The 21,002-nt window shown below is 38.0% G+C and overlaps 1 protein-coding gene across 9 annotated transcripts in view, besides 1 other annotated feature; it reads left to right on the top strand.

The window, feature by feature from the left end:
* Positions 1 to 6,299, top strand: part of MUSK (muscle associated receptor tyrosine kinase) — a 137,768-nt gene extending 131,469 nt beyond the window's left edge. For all 9 annotated transcript variants that reach the window (XM_005251994.4, XM_005251995.4, XM_017014734.2 and 6 more), the window contains one exon: positions 47 to 6,299. In XM_005251994.4, the coding sequence (XP_005252051.1) occupies positions 47 to 729 (683 nt within the window). In that variant the 3' untranslated portion in view covers positions 730 to 6,299. The remainder of the gene's footprint in view (positions 1 to 46) is intronic.
* Positions 8,464 to 8,513: an enhancer, noted in NCBI's record as "active region_28787". NCBI's record gives its function as "activates an Ori minimal core promoter by ATAC-STARR-seq in GM12878 lymphoblastoid cells {active_cell/tissue: GM12878}" and the evidence as "EXISTENCE:reporter gene assay evidence [ECO:0000049][PMID:35858748]".

Consider the following 21,002-nt stretch of genomic DNA (forward strand, 5'->3'; position numbering starts at 1 on the left):
TTCATTGTAGAAACTGAGACTAACAGGGATGGTCTTTTGGTTCCAGGAGTGTGTGCTGTCGGGAAGCCAATGTGCCTGCTCTTTGAATACATGGCCTATGGTGACCTCAATGAGTTCCTCCGCAGCATGTCCCCTCACACCGTGTGCAGCCTCAGTCACAGTGACTTGTCTATGAGGGCTCAGGTCTCCAGCCCTGGGCCCCCACCCCTCTCCTGTGCTGAGCAGCTTTGCATTGCCAGGCAGGTGGCAGCTGGCATGGCTTACCTCTCAGAACGTAAGTTTGTTCACCGAGATTTAGCCACCAGGAACTGCCTGGTGGGCGAGAACATGGTGGTGAAAATTGCCGACTTTGGCCTCTCCAGGAACATCTACTCAGCAGACTACTACAAAGCTAATGAAAACGACGCTATCCCTATCCGTTGGATGCCACCAGAGTCCATTTTTTATAACCGCTACACTACAGAGTCTGATGTGTGGGCCTATGGCGTGGTCCTCTGGGAGATCTTCTCCTATGGCCTGCAGCCCTACTATGGGATGGCCCATGAGGAGGTCATTTACTACGTGCGAGATGGCAACATCCTCTCCTGCCCTGAGAACTGCCCCGTGGAGCTGTACAATCTCATGCGTCTATGTTGGAGCAAGCTGCCTGCAGACAGACCCAGTTTCACCAGTATTCACCGAATTCTGGAACGCATGTGTGAGAGGGCAGAGGGAACTGTGAGTGTCTAAGGTTGAAGACGTTCAAATAAAATGCTGCAGTTTCCTCTCAGACTCTGTGAGCCAGGGGAATCCTACACCAGAGGCCCAACAAGACCCACATAGGAAAGAGTAAGAGTAAACATGAGTAGTGTGTTGTTTGCTTCCCAGGGAGAGCAAAGACAGTGCAAAACCCATGTGGTAGACGGACCCATTGAAAGCCAGTGATTGGAAACACAGGCTAGGAAATGTGTCAGATAATGGAGACAACTATTCTTCTTCATGAAGGTTTGTAATACACACTGCACAGGGAAGAATGTCATCCTGTTCAGTTTCCAAAGTAGCTGGTCACAGAGTAAAGCTCTGCTGTATTAAATTTTAATATGAAATGGGATTCAGAGCTTCATTTTTTAATTGAGTTAATTCCTGTCCATTGTGAAAGTAGCTTAATCGTCATGTAAGACACTTAGGTGAAGTACAGAAAACTAAAAAGAAGGAAAAGCCACTCATTCTGTCTCCCCCCAAAGACGAGTCTTAGTGTTTTATTAAATCTTTCTTGCATTTAATGCATAATTTTATATTTGTTTGTATTCTGCAGAGTTGTGGTTACATTTTATTGATAGAGGGTTTCTAAGGAATGAAACAGCAAATCAGCAAGCCTGTAACTCTGAGTTCCCTTTTCTGTCCTGTGCCCCTCCTTTTTTCCTTTCTGTGCATTTGTCATGAATTAAGTCTGCTTATTTTATTCCTCCAGTTTTCTTGAAACAAGTTTTTGTATCTTACTGATTTACCTTTTCCTTTAAAAATTGTATTGGTATCTTTTCCATTGCTTTAATCTTTATTTCTTCTTCTTTCCAGGACTTCTGTCCTTTTTTAGTTATTAAGCTATTTTTTTCTTTTATTTCATTCATGTAATAAACACTCTGGCAGAAATAATAACATTTTAAATACCATTGTAGATTGATATGTATATGCCTTTTGCAAAGTATTACTATTTTTCCTGCATTTGCCTTTGAAGCCACACATTTCAACATTCTCACCTATTAATATTATTACTAGAGTCTATTTAAATCTCTTAAACCATAATTTATAATATGAGATTTCACAAGATACACTTGTGGCTCTGAGTTATTTCAAAACTGATATTTCTGTGCATTCTGACATTTTATTCCTTTTAGAAACAAATTCAGTTGGCTGTAGAATTAATATCGTTCTGCTTAACAACTTTGTGCATGACATATTAACTGATTTTGTTGTATTTCATGATTTAAAAAAAAAAGCAGCAGCTCTGGAACTCAGATTCCTGGGGGTTCAGATTTTTTCTCAGTGGATCCTCACACAATACATCTTTATCTAAGTCCATACATGATCTGAGTTTATTTCTGATATAGCAGGAACCCAAATTCTCCTGAAAACGAACAGGGAAGAGAAAATAACAGTCTACTCTATACCAGCTTATCTTAATTCAGACTAATTGGTAGTTAGGGCATTGGAGGAATGGTGTGAATTCTTGAAAGTAGATTTTCGCTGTCTGCTGGAAAACTCTGCCTGAAATCCCCAAATCTGCCTCATGTAACAGCTTGACATCTTTGGTGGGAAACCTGCCATTTCTTATTCATAGTGTCTCCAGGCAACCAAGACAAAAATGTAGAAATTTTCCTAGACTTTGCCCTCTCTTTCATCATCAGTTTTCTATTAGTTTTACTTCCTAAAATCCTCCTGCTGACATCCTCTTCCCTTCAACCCAAGAGCCAATGACTCAACCTCTACCGTTGCCCACCCTGTCTATTAGCTGGCCTTCCTCTCATTTCAGACCTGAACAGATTCTGTAGGATACAACGACAGTAAGGCGGTCCTTAGTCACAGTTCTGGTTCATAAATAGCGAGGTCAGCATTTAGGACTGAGACCTAAAGAAGTGCTTCAGATAAAAATCATGAGTCTAAGTCCAAAATTGATACTGTAATCCAAATGACTGAATAAAGAATAAAGTTGCAGCGTGTGTCTAAAGCAGAAAGTCAAGATGCCAACAAAGCAGAAAAGTTGGAGAGGGCCACCAGCAAGTCTAGAACTTGAGCATAGATATCCATGGCTTATTTTAGATGGTTCATGTATGCTCTGCAAAATTCAAAGACAGCTTCGGGCTTTCTCCGCTGATAAAGTTTTGTTGTAAAAGACAGACATAGAAGTCAGGCTGACAGAAAATAGAGTAACAGTAATCATAAAAATTATAATATCAGCTAGCATTTATTGAAATCTTACCATGTGTATTCTGAGGCCTTTAAATATATGAACTTAAACCTCACAACATCCCTGTAATGTTGGTACTATCATTATATACATTTTAGTTTTGCTTTGTTTTGTTTTGTTTTTGAGACGGAGTCTCGCTCTGTCGCCCAGGCTGGAGTGCAGTGGCACGATCTTGGCTCACTGCAAGCTCAGCCTCCAACAGTCACAGAGAGATTGTGCAACTGGCCCGAGTGCACACAGCAACAGAGCCTACTTTTTGACCAAAAGAGGCCGAATTCTCAACCACTATACTGTAGAGCCTCTGTACATGATAGAAGCAATAACTGAACCTCAGTAACTCTGTGGAAGTGATTTGTAATTTGCATGTCGTTTCAAGCACACTCTATATCTATATTTTATTCTATTAACTTCCTAAGTCTTTTTAATGAATAGCAAAAAAAGTATATTTCAGCATTATCAATTTAAGTTAATCATAACATCTAATAGGTGACATGTTTATTTTTTCATGAGTTCTAATTACATTTTCAAGTTAAGATCACTGACTTATTCCCTAAGTGCTCGATCTAATGTTCTGAATCACAGGAGTATAGATGCATTATTCACCAATATTGTTTACTTTTTTAAATAAGATTTTTTTTCATGGTAGAATCATCATATACATTCAAAAAGGTAGACAAAAGAGAGACACTCACAGTGTCACTGTTACCAAGTGCCAGGACAGATATCAGTAAGGCACCAGCAGTCATTTTTAGTGATCAAATACCAAACATGGTAAGATACCAGAGTATTTTTCACATGACACCCAAAAACATATTCTCTGCTATCGTGGTAGAGCAGAAAAAGAACACTTTCTTTTCATTTTACAGTATATTACGAACCTGTTCCACGTCATTAAATATTCTTCTAAAAACCCAATTTTGGAATAATATTCTATTTTATTCATATACTGTAATTTAGCTAATCAATCTTGTATTTTTGAACATTTAGGTTTTTTCCAATTTTTATCATTATAAAAAATGCTGTAATTAACATCCTTATTTGTTCATGTCCACATTTCTTTTTATGAAAATTCAGAGAAAGGAAATGTCTGGACCAAATGGCATGTACAATATTAACACTTCTGTTATGTGGTTTCATATTCTGCAGAAATATTACTGCCACTTCTACATTGTACAAGAGATCTCATAGCCCTAAACATTTGCTTTCATAGATAATTTTCTGTTTTTTAGAAATCTTTTGTCTCTTTGGTTATAGAAAAAGAGAACCTCTTTTTAATTTTATTTTTTAAATTACTAGTCAGGTTGAATGTTTCTTGTTCCTAGGTCATTAACAGTTTTTATTTTGGCAATTGTCTACAGCCCATTTTTCTGCTGTGTTCATTTTCTAATCGAATTATGGGATTTATCTTGTAAAAAGCCTATTAAGCCTTTTTCATACTTTACACAAGAGATCACATCTACTTACTTTACCTTAAAATAACATTTACTTATTTTCTTATAAAAGTAATATATTATGTTTGAAAAGAAAAATAATATGCAATAATATACAATAATATGTATAATCATAATAGACAATAATAAAAATGAAAAAACACCAACCAGAGGTAATTAACATTAACATCATAATATTCTTCCAGGCTTTTTCAGATAGACAGGTAGGTAAGTAGGTTGGTAGGTAAATAGATAGATAGATGATACATAGAGAGAGATAGATAGATAATTTAAACAAAAATAAGATCATACTGCTACATTACTTCAAGCCTTGCTTTTATCACTTAATATATCTTAAACATCTTCTACATGAACAAGTATTCATGTGCAACATTAATTTTGATGGTTGAATAGTATTATACAGATTTATCGTAATTGACATAACTATTCTACTGTTAGACATTTGGTTTATTTCTATTTTTCCATTATAAAATGTAATGTTTGGATCATCCTGTTGCTAAATTTTGTAAGCATTTATCTTAAGTGATTTCTTTAGCTATAACTCCTAGAAGTGAAATTTCTAGATTAAAGGATAAATGCACTTTTAATACTTTTTAAATATATTAAAAAATTACCTTCCTGAATTATTTTATTAACATGTACCTCTCCTAGTCAGATAAGACAGCCCATTTATTTCAGTCTCACCAATACTGAGTATAGCATTTTAATCATTGCCAATATAATAGCTAATAGCTTAAAGTTATTTCATAGCTTATATTTACACTTCTTTAAATACTAATAAAATTGAACATTGTTTAATGTTTTGAGGATACTTGATTGGTGATTTGCCTCCTACTATTATTTTTCTACTGGGTATATCTTTTTCTTGTTGCTTTGTAAGAGCACTTTATATATTAAGGAGTTAAATTTTGTGATATATGTTTCAACTACTTTTATCATGTTAAAAATATAGACTTCTATTTGTCTTTTATTGTAGGTTTTATCAATCAGAAAAGAATGTTGACTTTTCCGTCCATTCAGATGATTGTGGCTTTTTTCCCTAATGGATTTGTTAATATGTTCAATTGTATGAATTTATTTCCTAATGTAGCGATATCCTTGTCTTCTAGGAATAAACTTTTTGGGCGAATCATATCAATCTTCTACTTAACTACCAAATTAATTTACATATATTTGCATCAATATTAAGTTCATAAAATTAAAAGTTTATCATTTTCATCTCTGTTAGAGTTTTGTATTGGCATTAGCATTTGTATTAGCATTGTATTAGGAAAAACTCAGGAGTTTTTCTCTATAATCTTGGTTAGTTTATTTTTAAATAATTGTTATTTATGAAAGTAATACATAAAAATGTTGTTTAAAAAAACTCACAAGAGGGTAAAAATTAAAAAAATAATAAAAGTTCCCTTCTTCCTTTTCATCTCTAGTCCCAGCCTAAGTGCTAACCACTTCACCCATTTATAGTGTTAGTTCTTCTGGTGATTACCAGTGCAATTCTAACAAATAGGTTTGCATTTCTCTTTCTGAATTGATCAATTTTTTAAAAATATGCAGCACTCTGACTCAAACTCCCTTTCTTTTTCCTGAGATATGTTAACTTCTAATGTTATATTGTTTATCACAACTTTCACAAATATTTCTAAATAAAGGTTACCTACTGATTCTGGATTGTGCTACATAAAATTAGAGCTTCCAAATTTCCCTCCATCACTTCTCCCTGCTCTCTACTCTCACAATCAGTCAACTATACACCTATTTCTACGCTGTCAACTATATGTTCATTTCTATGAATCTGTAATATTTGCATTTTGTTCTGGAACAAATTAAGATTTAGGTGCTTTGACTAGATTGATTCTAAACATCAAAAAACAAAAATAAAATATCTGCAATTATGTGATCATGTATTTATGCATTGCCAAATAATGGTATTCCATTATTTTAATTTGATAAGATAAATTTAATATACATTAATTCTTATTTCCTCTATTTTATGGAAGAAATATTTTTAAAAATCACAAAACTTTTACATTCGCTTCTCTTCCTGATATTTATTTTTCCTTTTTCTTCTGCCTCTCTTCTTTCGTGCCCTTTTTTCCGAAAATTATTTTGATGATTTTTTTTATTCACCATACATAATTACAAATGAAGAGTTGCTCTGGTTCGTATTGGTAGTAGAAGTGGGGTCCCTTTGCTGTTTTGTTGGTATATTCACCCAGTGTGACCTCTTTTCCGTGGGATGGCTACCTCTGGGCTCTGATTATGTGGCTCATAGGGAAGTATAGGCAGCCTGAGTCAGAATCCCCACAGTTCCAAAGTGATGGAAGACTGTACTCTGAGATACAATATTTTGACGTATTTCACTCCCAGGGAGAGCTACTTGCTATTCTTTCACTGCTTCCATTACCCAAAAGAGTATGATATTCTCCCCATTTTCTGTATTGCCTCACACCTAGGACCCTTCAAACCCACACCAACGACCTCTCAGGCAAATTGATCTATTCAGATAGCAGTTTACAGGGATAGACATGAGGCCTCTTGGCCCACCTGCTCTATACACAATCTTCTAGTCGACCATCCTGATTGACAACCCACAGCCCACCCCTGTCTCTGTATTTGCTGACTCAGAGCATGGAGACTTTATACATGTGAAATCACATCTCCCCTCCCCTCACGCTTGGCTTGTGTGTATTGCAAAAGCTGCAATTTAGTTTTTCCTGTGCCTTGTCTTACCCATGGATAAGAACACTAAGATACTTTCCGCTTTTTGAATATTTGTCAAAGTGATGGCACTTGGATTGGTTTCAGCATGTACATAGATTGATTCTTATTCATATACATTTACTGTCATATTGGGGAAATCTTGAGGGGAAAAGAAAAGCCTCTTACTACCATGTTCATCAAGAGTCCTCTCTGGAATAGTTGAAATAGTTTAGGAGTTATCGGTTCACTCCTTCGTCTTGTTTGCCTCCAGATTTCTTTTTTCCTTCTTTTCCTGTTTCTTAATGTTGGAACAGCCCACACCTCAATCCTTGGATGACATCTCCCTTTTATCTGTATTCATCCCTAGTGATCTCTTCTGGTTGCAAGGCTATAAATGCCATCTGTATGCTGAGATTTTTTTATTTTTAGTTCAAACCTCTCTCCCCAACTTTACACTCACATTTCTAACTGTGTGTTATAGATGATAGCTTTAGATTCTCCTCCTCAGGACTAGGCTTTCTGCTTGATCTAGGAGCAAAGCTGAAAACTGCTATGGAGCTTGGTGTTGCCTTGATACCGAGGAGGAGTCTCAGAGCCTCTCCAGTGCAAATACACACTTGCAGTGTCCTAGTGCTGCTGACTTACGTACTCATTCTAAAGAGGGTAGATTGTATCCATTTTAATAGCTCTCAATACCCTTGCCCATTCCCATTACAGCTGGCAGAAATTCCCCAGCTGCAAATGGGTTGCATTTATCTGTTACCCATTCCTGATTTGCAGCACGATTGACTGTTTCCTTTTCTGCGTGGTCTATGTGTCACTCCATGAGAATCTGGGAGAGGAGAACTCGATATGGTGCTCATTCCATCATTTTAACCATAGTGTTCTTTATTGTGAAGAGGTATCCCGGTTAGAGTGGAGTCAAAGCTTTATAGCAAGTGTATTTCAGGTAACTATTCTTTTACTTGTTTCAGATCTATTTCAGTAGCACAGCCACCAAGATAGAACACTTATAAGCCCTTATTTTGGTATAGATCACCAGAGAAACCACTCACCACTCGCACTTGGCCTTCAGTACTGAGTCATTACATATTGGAAGGTCAGAAACTACATCAACAGGAAAGACCCATAGGTGTGGGGGTCTGATATATTTGCCAGTACATTTCTTATCATTACAAACAAAGATTTATGTGTGTCTAGATGTTTACCTTGCCTTCTAAGAGGTCATGTCCTCTGAATGAAGCAAAATCAAGGTAAGCCTTTACCTGTAAGCCGTTACATGTCTTCTTTACAGAATCCCTCTTAATTAAAAACTTCTAAGAGATTCAACAGGGTTAGTTTTTCTTACAACCTTCATCGTCAGACCTGTAATTATGCAACTGGCCAGCATTGCTCTTTCAAACCACAGTCTCTGGAAAGTACACACCGTATATAGCATTTTGCCCATAAGAAGAGAAACCACCTGTAGTATCTAAGGTTACGTCAGAGAGATGTTAACCACAAAAAAACCCAGACTTAGATACACACTATCATTTTCTGGGTGTGTTCTTGACCATTTAGAGCTGTGATTAAAATTAGAAGTGTTGGCATGACACTGCTTTCTGACTTTCTTTTTTAGCCATGTTGACACCGTGGTGGTTAGTGTGATGCTCCTTCTTATTTCAATTGATGCTTTACTCAAGTATGGATGAAACATAATTTAAAGTCACCTCTTCTTCTGCTATCTTGATTTTTAAAATTATTTGGATGCATTATATTTAAGAATCTTAAGACAGTCCATTAGTATTATGTATTTATCTTCTCTTCACTCGTTTAAGTCACTTTCTGACTCAGATCACCTTCTCAGGAGACTCTCAGCATCATTCTGCCTGACATCACTCAGTTGCTTTGTTTATGGCAACCTAAAAAAGCAGCTGCCCTAATTTTAGCCCATTCCCAGAGTACCCTCAGAAGTGACAGGTAAGAAAAAATAAACTGATCAAAGATGAGAGAAAGACTTACAGAGGAGTGACACTGAGAGAGCAAAAAACCACAAATAAATTTCATTTCTAAGAACAAAGCAAAGATGACCAGGAAATGCCTGAGGAAACACATTTTTTTTTTTTTTTTGGAGGCAGAGGGTATTATATTCCTTTTTTTTCTTCAACTTTCATTCTAGATTCAGGGAGTACATGGGCGAGTGTGTTATGTGGACATGTTGTGTAGTGCTGATGTTTTCAGTACAACTAAACCTGTCACCCGGGTTGTAAGCATAGTACCCAATAGATAGTTTTTCAACCCTTGCCTCCCTTCTTCAGAGACCTCCCCCTTCTTGTATTCCCCAGTGTCTTTTGTTCCCATCTTTATGTCCATGTGTACTCAATGTTTAACTCCCACTTATACTTGAGGACATTTAGTATTTACTTTTCTGTTTCTGTGTCCATTTTGCTGCAAAGGACATGATTTTGTTCTTTTTGGCTGCATAGTATTCCATGGTGTATATGTATCACATTTACTTTATCCAATCAACCATTGATAGGCAACTATGTTGATTCCACATCATTGCTATTGTGGATAGTGCTGCAATGAACGTATGGGTACAATGTGCCTTTTGGCAGAATGATTGATTTTCCTTTAAGTGTATACCAAAGGAAATGGGATTGCTGTATCAAATGGTAGATCAACTCTTATTTATTTCTCATTCATTTCTCAAATAATTTCTCAATTATTTGAGAAATCAAGGAGACACTTTTTTTTTTTTTTTTTTTTTTTGAGACAGAGTCTTGCTCTGTTGCCTGGGCTGGAGCGCAGTGGCGTGATCTTGGCTCACCAGAACTCTGCCTCCCAGGTTCAAGCAATTTGGAGACATAATTTTTAAGACATTTTTAAATAATAAACCTCAAATATTTTAGGGAAAACATCTTTATCTCTGTTTCTATAACTGTCAACCTCTTTCTAATAAGCTTTGCAAAGCTATATGAAACTAGTTTTTAATTTTTGTATACTTGAGACAATTTTGGAAGAAAGTAGGTATCTACTCATCCAATTTCAGAGAACTCTGAGAAAATTTAGTTATTCTTATGAAAGATCTATTTTCTTATTGCAATAACTGTGAATTTATCTGGCACTTGGCCAAACTTAGCATTAACAGGTAATACATTATATTCACAACAGAAACTAGAAGATGATTCCAGAACAACACAGCCCTAAAGGAAAAATCATTAATTGTTTGACATAAATATTCTACACTTCAAAAATCTACACTTAGATTTTTTTTCTAAGATTGTTTTGTATTATTTACTAACCTAACAGCTTTCCATTAACAATAAATTTAGAACTTTTTTATATTTTAAATATCAATGTGTGCATTATTTTGGTGATGACATAATAAATCATTAGATGTTGCATACATGTTATCAAATGTATATGGAGGTTGCGTAAGTGTTATCAAGACAGGCAGCAGATGGAGTGTTGAAATATATGGACTCAGGGCTGAGTCTGCTGCCTGTCAAATCCTAGCAATTTACTTAACCCCTTTGTGTTCAATTTTCCTCATTTATGAAAAGAGAATAAGAATAGCACCAAGCTCATAGGTTATTGGAAAGATTAAATGATTTAATAAGTAGAAAAGGCTTAGAAAGGTACCTAATACACAGTAAATACTTCCAAGGACTTTGCTAATATAATTGTGTCTAATTTTTTGCAATTATATAGAAAACTGACATACTATAGCTAAATCATTACACAGATCTTTTTACTATTTCCTGCAGATACAGCAATAGAACTAACATAATTAGGTCAGATGCAATAAACCTTTTTAGGAATTTTAATATATGTTACAAAATTACCCTCCAGAAATCTTGCAACAATTTACACAACCAATAGCAATGTTTGAAAGTGCTTATTTCTGATACTTCAGCTAATTTAGCATGTCATCAAATTTAATTCTTAGCCAGTTTGATAACTGAGAAACTTTAGCTCCCTGTTTAAATTTGATTTTTCTTTTAAATTCCTGCAGATATTGTTTGCTTTTCAGATTTTTTACCAGCTGTTTTTGGGCAGTTTGTGAATTGTCAAGTATGTTCTACTGTTTGTCTTCTACTGATTGTTCTCCACCTGGACTGAGTGTGGATCCTGGAACAGTCTAGTTTTTCTTGGGAATCCTGTTACAATGTATGTTCTAGATCTACCCTCCATATTTATTATCTTTAGCCTCATTGTATACATTTTATATCAATTTCTTCTGAGATAGGTAAATGTCTTAATCTGATTTTGTAATTCATTACATCTCCTATCTGCTTTTTACTGTTTTCATTGCATTATTTTTTATTTAATTATTTTTAATAGTAATACATTCACTTGGGTCAACATTCAAAGATATAAAAATCTACACAGTAGACTTCTACTTATAAGAAGAGGGGGTGGATGTGCTTTTTCCTCTTCCTTCCACTAAATACAACTAAAAACCCGAACATCACATAGAAAACCAACGTGGAAAAGTAGAGAGAAGTAGACAGTTCATCTAGGAAGAAGACAGAGTCAAGGAATGACATTCTGGTGAGCTCTCTGGGTTTTCTTTGGGCCTCAGCTATCTCAAACTTGAAGCTGAAGAAGCCAGCAACACAGAAACGCCAGCGGGCATATACCAAAAAAAAAAAAACCAAACAAAAAAAAAGCCCCAACTAAAGCCTGCTATCTTTAGACAAAACACCAGGAAAAGGGCACCTAGCAAGACAGAAACCTTTTAGACAATAATTGCTCTCTTCTAGCCAAACACCACGCGCGCACACACACACAACAAACAAAAAAAATGGCCTCACCTCCACCCACGCCAGCAAAGACCGAGTGTGGATCCTAGACTTCTCCCTCACCAGGTGTAATAAGGAGCTCAAACTTCCCACAGGTGTGAGTCAGAAAAGTCCTCTTCCACAACTCAGACTTTCATGCCTCTGAGCTCTAAATGCATATAGAGGAAATATTTAAGGCAATATATTATAAACATAGGAGGCTAAAGCGATATAAAAGGAGGTCCTTTCTACACTTTGTTTGAACTGGTAAAATGTCGACACTAGTAACTGTGATAAGTTACATACGTACTGTATAATGCATGTATAATGTAATCCCTAGAGCAACCATAACAAAACTCCACAAAAAGATACACTTCAAAACACTATTGGTCAGGTGCGGTGGCTCACACCTGTAATTTCAGCACTTTGGGAGGCCAAGGCAGGTGGATCACCTGAGGTCAGGAGTTCAATACCAACCTGGCCAACATGGCAAAACCCTGTCTCTATTAAAAATACAAAAATTAGCTGGGTGTGGTGGCACATGCCTCCCAGATACCTGGGAGGCTGAGGCAGGAGAAAAGCTTGAACTCGGGAGGCAGAAGTTGCAATGAGCCGAGATCACACCACTGCCCTCCAGCCTGGGTGACAGAGCAAGACTGTGTCTCAAAAACAAACAAACAAACAAAACCCACTATAGATATATCAAGACAGAATTCTAAGAAATGTTCAAGTAACCCACAGGAAGGCAAGAACAAGAAAACAGAAAAAAAAAAAAAAAACAGAGCAAATAAAAAGCAACAAATAAAATGGCAGACTTAAGCCTTGACATAGTAATAATTACATTAAGTATAATTATCGTAGAATTTTAAATGTTTAGATGGGCTTCCAGTCCAAGATGGAGAGAGAGCATGTGTTTGCCTCACCACCTGGGGTCTCAATGGACTACGGATTTGGATAAATTTCTGCAAAATGGAAAACACATGGCATCATACTAACAGACAAGACTCACAGGAAACAAAAGAGTGATACAATAGAGGTAGAAACCATCTGTTTGGTTCTATCCTTGAGAGGCTAAATAGAGACTATTTCCCTAGAGCTACTAACTAAAATACTATCACCTGGCAGGAAGCAGTGGGGGTTGGGAGGAGGGGCGGCAGTGAACTCAAAATAGATGATTACCTTTCTGGTGTCAGTGCCTGGTCCATACCCCTCACTCCTAGCAACAGTTCTTCTTCTCCGTTTCCTTCCTTAAAATCCTCCATTAATTTTTTATTCATTCATTTGACCAATACTTAGTGATTAGCTACTAAATGCTAGGCACTGTCACAGTTGCTGGGGAAATACTAGTGAACAAGATAAGTCTGATTTGGGGGAGTTTTAATTCTACTAACGAACAAATAATAAATATGAAAACAAAAATATAAACAGATCATTTTAAATAGCAATGAGTTCTATGAAAGCAGAGACATTGCAGGAATTAGTGTATATCCTTCCACCTGCTCATCACAAATAAATTCATTAGCAACTGCACTGCTACGACATTTCAAAGGCTGTTGAAATTCCACGTCTCCAAGGGCTGGAGTTCTCATTGCTATCAGCAAATGATCTGACTCCAGAATCCCAACCTTAGGGTATGCTTCCTAGGACTACTCTTAGGATACAGGGTTAGGTCATGTATTAGTCCATTCTCATGCTGCTAATAAAGACATACCGAAGGCTGGGTAATTTATAAAGGAAAGAGATTTAATTGACTCACAGTTCAGCACTGCTGGGGAGGCTTGAGGAAACTTACAAACATGGCAGAAGGGGAAGCAAGCATGTCCTTCTTCACATGGTGGCAACAAGAAGTACTGAGCAAAAGGGGAAAAGACCACACCATCAGATCTCATGAGGACCCATTCACTATCAGGAGAACAGCATGGAAGTAACTGCCCCCATGATTCAATTACCTCCCACCAGGTCTCTCCCACAACACATGGGGATTATGGGAACTACAATTCAAGATGAGATTTGGGTGGGGACACAGCAAAACCATATCAGGTCAGGTTCTTGAAAAACCAAGCCTGAGATAAAGATTCCTGTGCAAGTGGTTTATGGAGGGAGTGCTCTCAGAGGAAATGCCTCTGGGAGTGATAGAAGGAAGTTTGGTTAGTGAAGGAGCTGGGCAAAGGTGTGTTATCAGCGGAAGTGTGACCTCAGCTTGCACTCACAGAGAGCTCTGGAGTATGAGTTATACCGCAAAGATTGTCCTACCCAGAGGCAAAGAAGATTGAATTCTTATACCCCTGCTTTGCCTTTGGATATGAGCCACCCTGGGGCAAGGGCCAGAAGTGGGTAACCTCTCAGGCATCTCCACATGAGACAGTTCCTGTCATTCAAAGGCAATCCTTTCAAGAAGGGTTTCTTAACTTCCCAACTTTCAATTTGGGAAGATTTCTTATTGTCTAGCTTATTTTTATAGACACAGTCATCTTATTAAATAATAGTGACACACTAGCCTTATATGTTGAAGACTTCCCTTAAAACTGCTAACAGATATGGCATAAATCATTGTAATAAAATCAATTCTTTTTGGTTGATCCAAGATTCCATTTTCCTTCTCGTTGAAGAAGTAGGTGAATTTTAAAGGAAAGAACTAACTTTCCAAATTCAACCTGAGCTAGTTACAAAATAAATAAAACAGAAACTGCCCATTCTACCTTTTTTATGCAATAATAACAATACACACTTAGTCCACTAATTAAGTCTTCCCTTCAAGAAAGATTAGTAATTTATTTAGTAATTAATTACTAAATATTAAAAAAATTTAGTAATAAAATTAGTAATTTTATTACATTAGTGATAAAATATGTGTGCCAGGTGCAGTGGCTCATGCCTATAATCCCAGCACTTTGGGATGCCAAGGCAGAAGGATCATTTGAACCCAGGAGTTTGATACCGGCCTGGGCAACATAGGAGGACCCCATCACTACAAAAAAAATTTTTTTAAATTAAAAATTAGCTGGACATGGTGGTGTGCACCTGGAGTCCCAGCCACTCTGGAGGCTGAAGCAGGGAGATACCTTGAGCCCAGGAGGTCAAGGCTGCAGCGAGCCATGATCATGCCACTGTACTCCAGTCTAGGTGACAGAGTGAGACTCTGTCTCAAAAAAGAAAAAAGATTTCTCCCAGGCTTTTGGAGTTCTCAGAGTGTCACAAATGCTAAGAACAGACAAGGAAAGAGGAAGAAAAAGTACAGAGAAACAATCTTCTATCCCCTTTAGTATTTGCAAACTATAGTGTGTCCCTTATTTGTTTCATTGTTATAATCTGGATTCTTGGCATTTAAGAAGAAACTGAGATTTTTCTGTAACTCTGATGAAGAACATTCCCGGAGGCCAATGTCTCTATGTGCTGGAAACCAGAAAGGGGAAGTGTCCCAGCTAGAGTCTGGTAAACCATAATTCTTCCTATTGTCAAGGATTTCACATCTTTGCTCACACATGGGAAAGTTCTCAAAGTAGATTTGACAATATTTCACAAATACCACAAAAGGACCATGCTCAGCAAAGACAATTCCAGGCTTGGCACTAAGCAATGTAATCTATCAACTGGCACCAGTGAGTCTCACTTGGTGTGAATGTTCCACAGCACAGACCAGTACCACTCTTAGATCTGGGCAAGAGGAGACTAACTTGGGCACTGTGATTAAGAGGATTTCACTCTGGTCTTTCTCCAGGCACCATCCTTCTCACAGGGTGAGGGTCCCAGGGGCCAAAGGGCTATGCCTACCTAGAAACTGACTCCCTTCTTTTAAACCATATTTCAGATATGAGGGGCCCCAGAATTTCAGCTCTGCCACTGGCCCTTTTCTGAGTCCCTCTACCCTTGAGTGGACAGTGCCTCTGGCAGTCATATCTTTAGGCTGGGGGTTGTCCAAGGAGCAGCCATTATAAGAAGAATGAACACAGATGTGTTCACAAGACCTTTCATGTGTTGGGCAAACTCAGGGTGGGAAAAGAGAGTAGAAGGGCTGTGATCCAGGGCCTAGCTCTTCCCACACCACCATACTTCAGCAGAGACCTCAGAAGAGTCCTAAAACTCTCTATATAAATAGTATTCAGTTTAGGTAATAATTGAGTTACTATGTGGCAGGCACAATCAGGACTGGCAGGCACTATTCTCAGTATCATATATGTATACACAAATATATATATATATAAAATATGAATTATAATATATTATATATAAATATATTCACTTAATTTTCACACTAACCTTATGGGAAATATGCTTACAGGGAGATTAAATAACCTGCACCAGGCCATACAGCAAGTGGTGGGCCCAAGATTTGATCCCATGCAGCCTGGTTCCAAAACATGTACTCCTATTTCACCAAATACAATTTTGCATCCCTCTGTGAATTTCTAGATTAGATAAATTTGACGTGTATCACAATCTTCCTTGGAATTTGCTTTGCAAAAAAAAAAAAAAAAAAACTAAACAAACCAAAACAACATGATTTTTTTGGAGAAGGCAACTTGCTTAGTTAAAACAACAGGGTGGATCCGGTGCTATATAGAGCAGTTTGCTGCAAGAACACACAGCGTAGGGAACTTAACCCAGACCATGGAATCAAGGGGCACTTCCAGAGGAAGACAGTTTCTGAAATAAGTCTGAAAAGATAGGTCCAAGTTAGGCAAGCAAATAAGATGAGAGCAGGACAGTCCATTCTAGCCTCTAGTAGGAGAACAAAAACAAATAGGAAAGAGGGCCCTTTATTTTTTTTTCATGGGTGGGATTTTATTAAAATTGTACATAGATCTCAAATTTAAATTTAAAAATGAGCATTTTTTTCTAGTATCAAAATAGTTATTTTAAAAATAACTTGGAAGCCGGGCGCAGTGGCTCACGCCTGTAATCCCAACAGTTTGGGAGGCTGAGGTGGGCGAATCATGAGGTCAGGAGTTTGAGACCACTCTGGCCAACACGGTGAAATCCCGTCTCTACTAAAAAAAAGAAACAAAAATTAGCCGGCGCAGTGGCGGGTGCCTGTAGTCCCAGCTACTCTGGAGGCTGAGGCAGGAGAATCGCTTGAACCCGGGAGGCAGAGGTTGCAGAGAGCAGTGATCGCGCCGCTGCACTCTAGCCTGGGTGACAGAGCAAGACTCTGTCTCAAAAAAAAAAAAAACCCTTAGAAAACTTTAATACAACTTTGTTATATATTAAATATTCACCTAAAATCTCAATCATTTCTCTCCCATCTCTCTCTGCTAGAATCTTGGAGGGCCCTTCATTTATAAGTAACTCACTGCAAACACTTTCAAGACAAGAGTGAGGGGAAGGTGAAGAGGTTAGAGCTGAAGTGTTTATCATATCTCTAAGTCCATGGCTTTTAACCTAAAAGCCACCTCTGAAAATTTATCTGGAGGAAATGAAAAACCTGTGTCACTACTCTGAAAATTCAGATTTTTTAAATATTCAGGGATAGATTTATAGAAACTTAATTGTGTATAACCTTACCTTGTGGGCAAGAAAAATGACTCTCAAAGATGATAAAAATCAGTAGTTGTCGAGAGTATGATCTTTTGATTCAAAGTAGAAATTCACTTTTATTATTAATCTTTATTGGGCCTACTCACTCCTGCCAGAGTGGGTCATGCAAAGGCTCTGGGGTCTTAAGCAGAGTACAGTATTTGGTAAGAATGTTCTAGGGTTTGGTTTACACTGACCACCACTGAGATGCCCATTGCGAGTATATGTAGTCATTTGAAGTTTGGGACTTCTGCCATGTCTATGCCACACTTGGACATTCAAATCATTACAGAGTCAGTCTAGGAACTCCTGTGCCTACGGTTCGGTCTCCTTAGGTGCTCTAAGCAACCATTTGCCCTGGGAGTCATGCCGTTTCACCAGGGCACCTAGAGAGTGGGTTCCCATCACCACTGGAATCCAAAGACCTGTCTCCTCAGCCTTAGAGAAGCGTCTCCATTCTGTTGCTACTTTTTTATCCTGCTTGTTTAAAAAAGGCATTTTCCTCTCCCTAGTTTCCCTTTTGAGACCTTTAACATATTCTCTCCAATTGCTTTTGGCTTTTCTAAATGCCAAAAAGAAAGCTTGTATTCAAGCAACTCAGGCTTTAGGCACTGAAAAAACATCCATAGCAAAGGAACAAAGGCCTTAAAACTGGGAACAGGCCAGGCACGGTGGCTCATGCCTGTAATCCCAGCACTTTGGGAGGCCAAGGGGGGTGGATCACGAGGTCAGGAGATCAAGACCATCCTGGGCAACATGGTGAAAACCCGTCTCTACTAAAAATACAAAAATTAGCTGAGCGTGGTGGCACACACCTGTAGTACCAGCTACTTGGGAGGCTGAGGCAGGAGATTCGCTTGAACCCGGGAGGTGGAGGTTGCAATGGGCTGAGATTGCGCCACTGCACTCCAGCCTGGTGACAGAGTGAGACTCCATCTTGAAAAAAAAAAAAAAAAAAAAACTGGAACAAATTCCAGAAGGACAAGCATCTCAAATATCTCTGTTTTCCAGCAGCAAAAATAATAATAATGATTCAACGAATGATTATATAGGATATTTGAATTGTTATACATTTTGCATCATTATAAATAACACTGTAAAAACTTCTTATATGGTATTTGTATTCTTGGGATACATTTCAAATAGTAGGAGCACAATATATCACTTGAGGTACCTGCTTACTTAAGCAAATGTAAGGTGAGGTCATTAATGTCATGACTGAAAGACAAAAGAGAAGCTTTTTGTCAGTTGCTGGAGTCCACTTTTCCCATGAATACCTTGTTATACTCTGAAGGTGAGACAGAGTAATTTTCAGGAAGCCATTGGTTTCCTGGAGGAAACTCAGCTCCTCGTGCCTAAGATTCAAAGTTAGAAGGACTCATCAGAATGGACTGAGATGGTCTCGTGCAAGTTCCCCTAGCAAGAAAGCAAGCAAAGTCCCCCAGAAGCACTCACCAGAAGGGAAAGGAAGTTTGGGATGGTACTGGAGCTCAACACAAGGTATGAAAATTGGGAAGCAGCATGAAGCTAAAGTAGGAAGCCCCTTGCCAAAGCCCTTGCCTAAGCCCTTGCCAAAGCACAGGCATGAGATTGGACTAGATAAGAGATCACTGCACAGTGAATAAGCATCCACCAGTCTGCATAGACCAGGTCTCCAGCAGCAAGAGTGTTGTGGGCAATAACTACAGCAGTAGAGCTGATGGACTGATTTCTCCTTCTAGTTCCTTGTCTCCTCTGGGATGTTGAAGCACAGCTAGTCTTTTTTGCCTGGGGTCCTTGGACAATTGAGGATACAGAAGGAGAGAACATAAGAGGAGGAATTGGTGGGTGTTTGAAGTAGTAATTGAAAAAATTAGACATGTGAACATGCTTGTGTCCCAAGCTGGAAAAACAGGTCAATAAATACACATACTATCAGAGTCACAGTAAATGCATGTACTGTCAGAGTCACAGATTTGTTTACAACCAGAGAAAATACAGAAAAATGTAGCTTCTTTGTTGCTTCTTCAAGTATTCTCACCTGCTGTGTAGAAAGGAAATCTATCTTTGAGCTTACTACAGTAAATTTGGTCCACCAACTTTATTTAGCAGTCCTTGTAGAAACTCAGTCATCTCCTATAAAATTCTGTGGCTCTCAGATTTTTAGATGGAGTGACACATCCTCTGTCCTTCTTCAGGATGGGATATGGGCAGTGGTAAAATGATTACCTCACCTTATGAGAGCAACAAAGAGGACCCAAGATTACATGCAGTGCCTCTGGATTCTTGCTGGTCCTTACAGCAGAAATCTTGTCTGTGTGTCTCCTTGACTGTGACCACTGAGGCAGAGGCTACTGGTCACAAACTAGTATGTATGACCAGAGACCACAGCCAAAGGCATTTGGCCCTGTCCCAAAGTCTCTACCTCCTACCTAAGGTGTACAAAAAAAATAAAATAGGTCAATTGAAAATAGCTGAAATATTGAGGGATATTTAGAGTACAAGAGTACTCACAGCAGTATTGCAATTACAATGTGTATACGAAGGCCTTATTGACTTGATTTACATTTTTTTCTTCTTTCAATATGTTCTAGTTAGTTGAACAGATTCCCAAACAACCCAAAATATTTTTGGTTTAAGTACTAGGAATTATAATTATACACCTTTCATGAATGAATGGTCAAACAAAATTCCTGCCAGAGATAAGTTTTCCAGTGTTCTGACAAAAGGACATGCTATCAAGCATGTGTTGACAGCCATTACAATGACACTGTGTACATCTAGTCAAGACGTTTTTTCACTTCTCCAAAGCCAGAAAAATGGAGAAGCCTCCCACCAAAACTTCAAGAGAAAGGATGAGAGTTGCTCACCCTCCCTAAACTTTAAATTCAAAGAAGGGGGCAACTAAACTGGAGCTTTGTGTTGTTGGACAACCCCTGTCTGTGGACCAGCAGTGCAGGATGGGCAATTTGCCTAAGCAGCTGTGAGCCTGGAATCTCTTGGGCAGAATCATTGGCTTGAGAACAGTTTATCTCCAGGAAATTTCTTTGCTGGGGGCAAGTGGAGGGGGGCAGAAAGGTCTACTTTACTTGAGATGTTTCTCAGCAGATAAGTTTCCAAAAATCCTCATTCATATCTAAATATGTCTTCCCTAGAGAGACTGAACAAGGTTCTAAGAGCTGTAGAACAGTTTTAGAAGAAAGTGCTCAAAGTTAGGCTAAACCTATAATTCCTACAGGCAATTTGCTCCTGGAATAGTTAGCACCAAAATCACATAGGGGGGTTTTATGGATGTGTACCTTTTGAACAGAAATCTTTAAAACTAATTCTTTTTTGTGTTAAAAAGGAAAACATGAATAGTAACATGCTAAGATATAAAATGGACGATGTTACATATAAATTGATTTACTTATGTTCCTTAACTTGAAGATTTAGTGCTTGGTAATCTTAATTTGGGAGGGGTTTATTGTGAGGTTTTTCATTTTAGATAAGCTTCCAGTTCAAGATGGAAGAGGAAACACATGTGTTTGTCTCAATACCTGTGGCCTCAGTAGACTACAGATTGAAAACATATGTGGAATATGGAAAGCAGATTGGGGTCAGGCTGACAGATAACAGAGCACAGGAAACAAGAGAACGAGGCAGTAG

Source organism: Homo sapiens, chromosome 9 (genome assembly GCF_000001405.40).
Source record: "Homo sapiens chromosome 9, GRCh38.p14 Primary Assembly".
In the NCBI taxonomy this organism is placed as follows: Eukaryota; Metazoa; Chordata; class Mammalia; order Primates; family Hominidae; genus Homo; species Homo sapiens.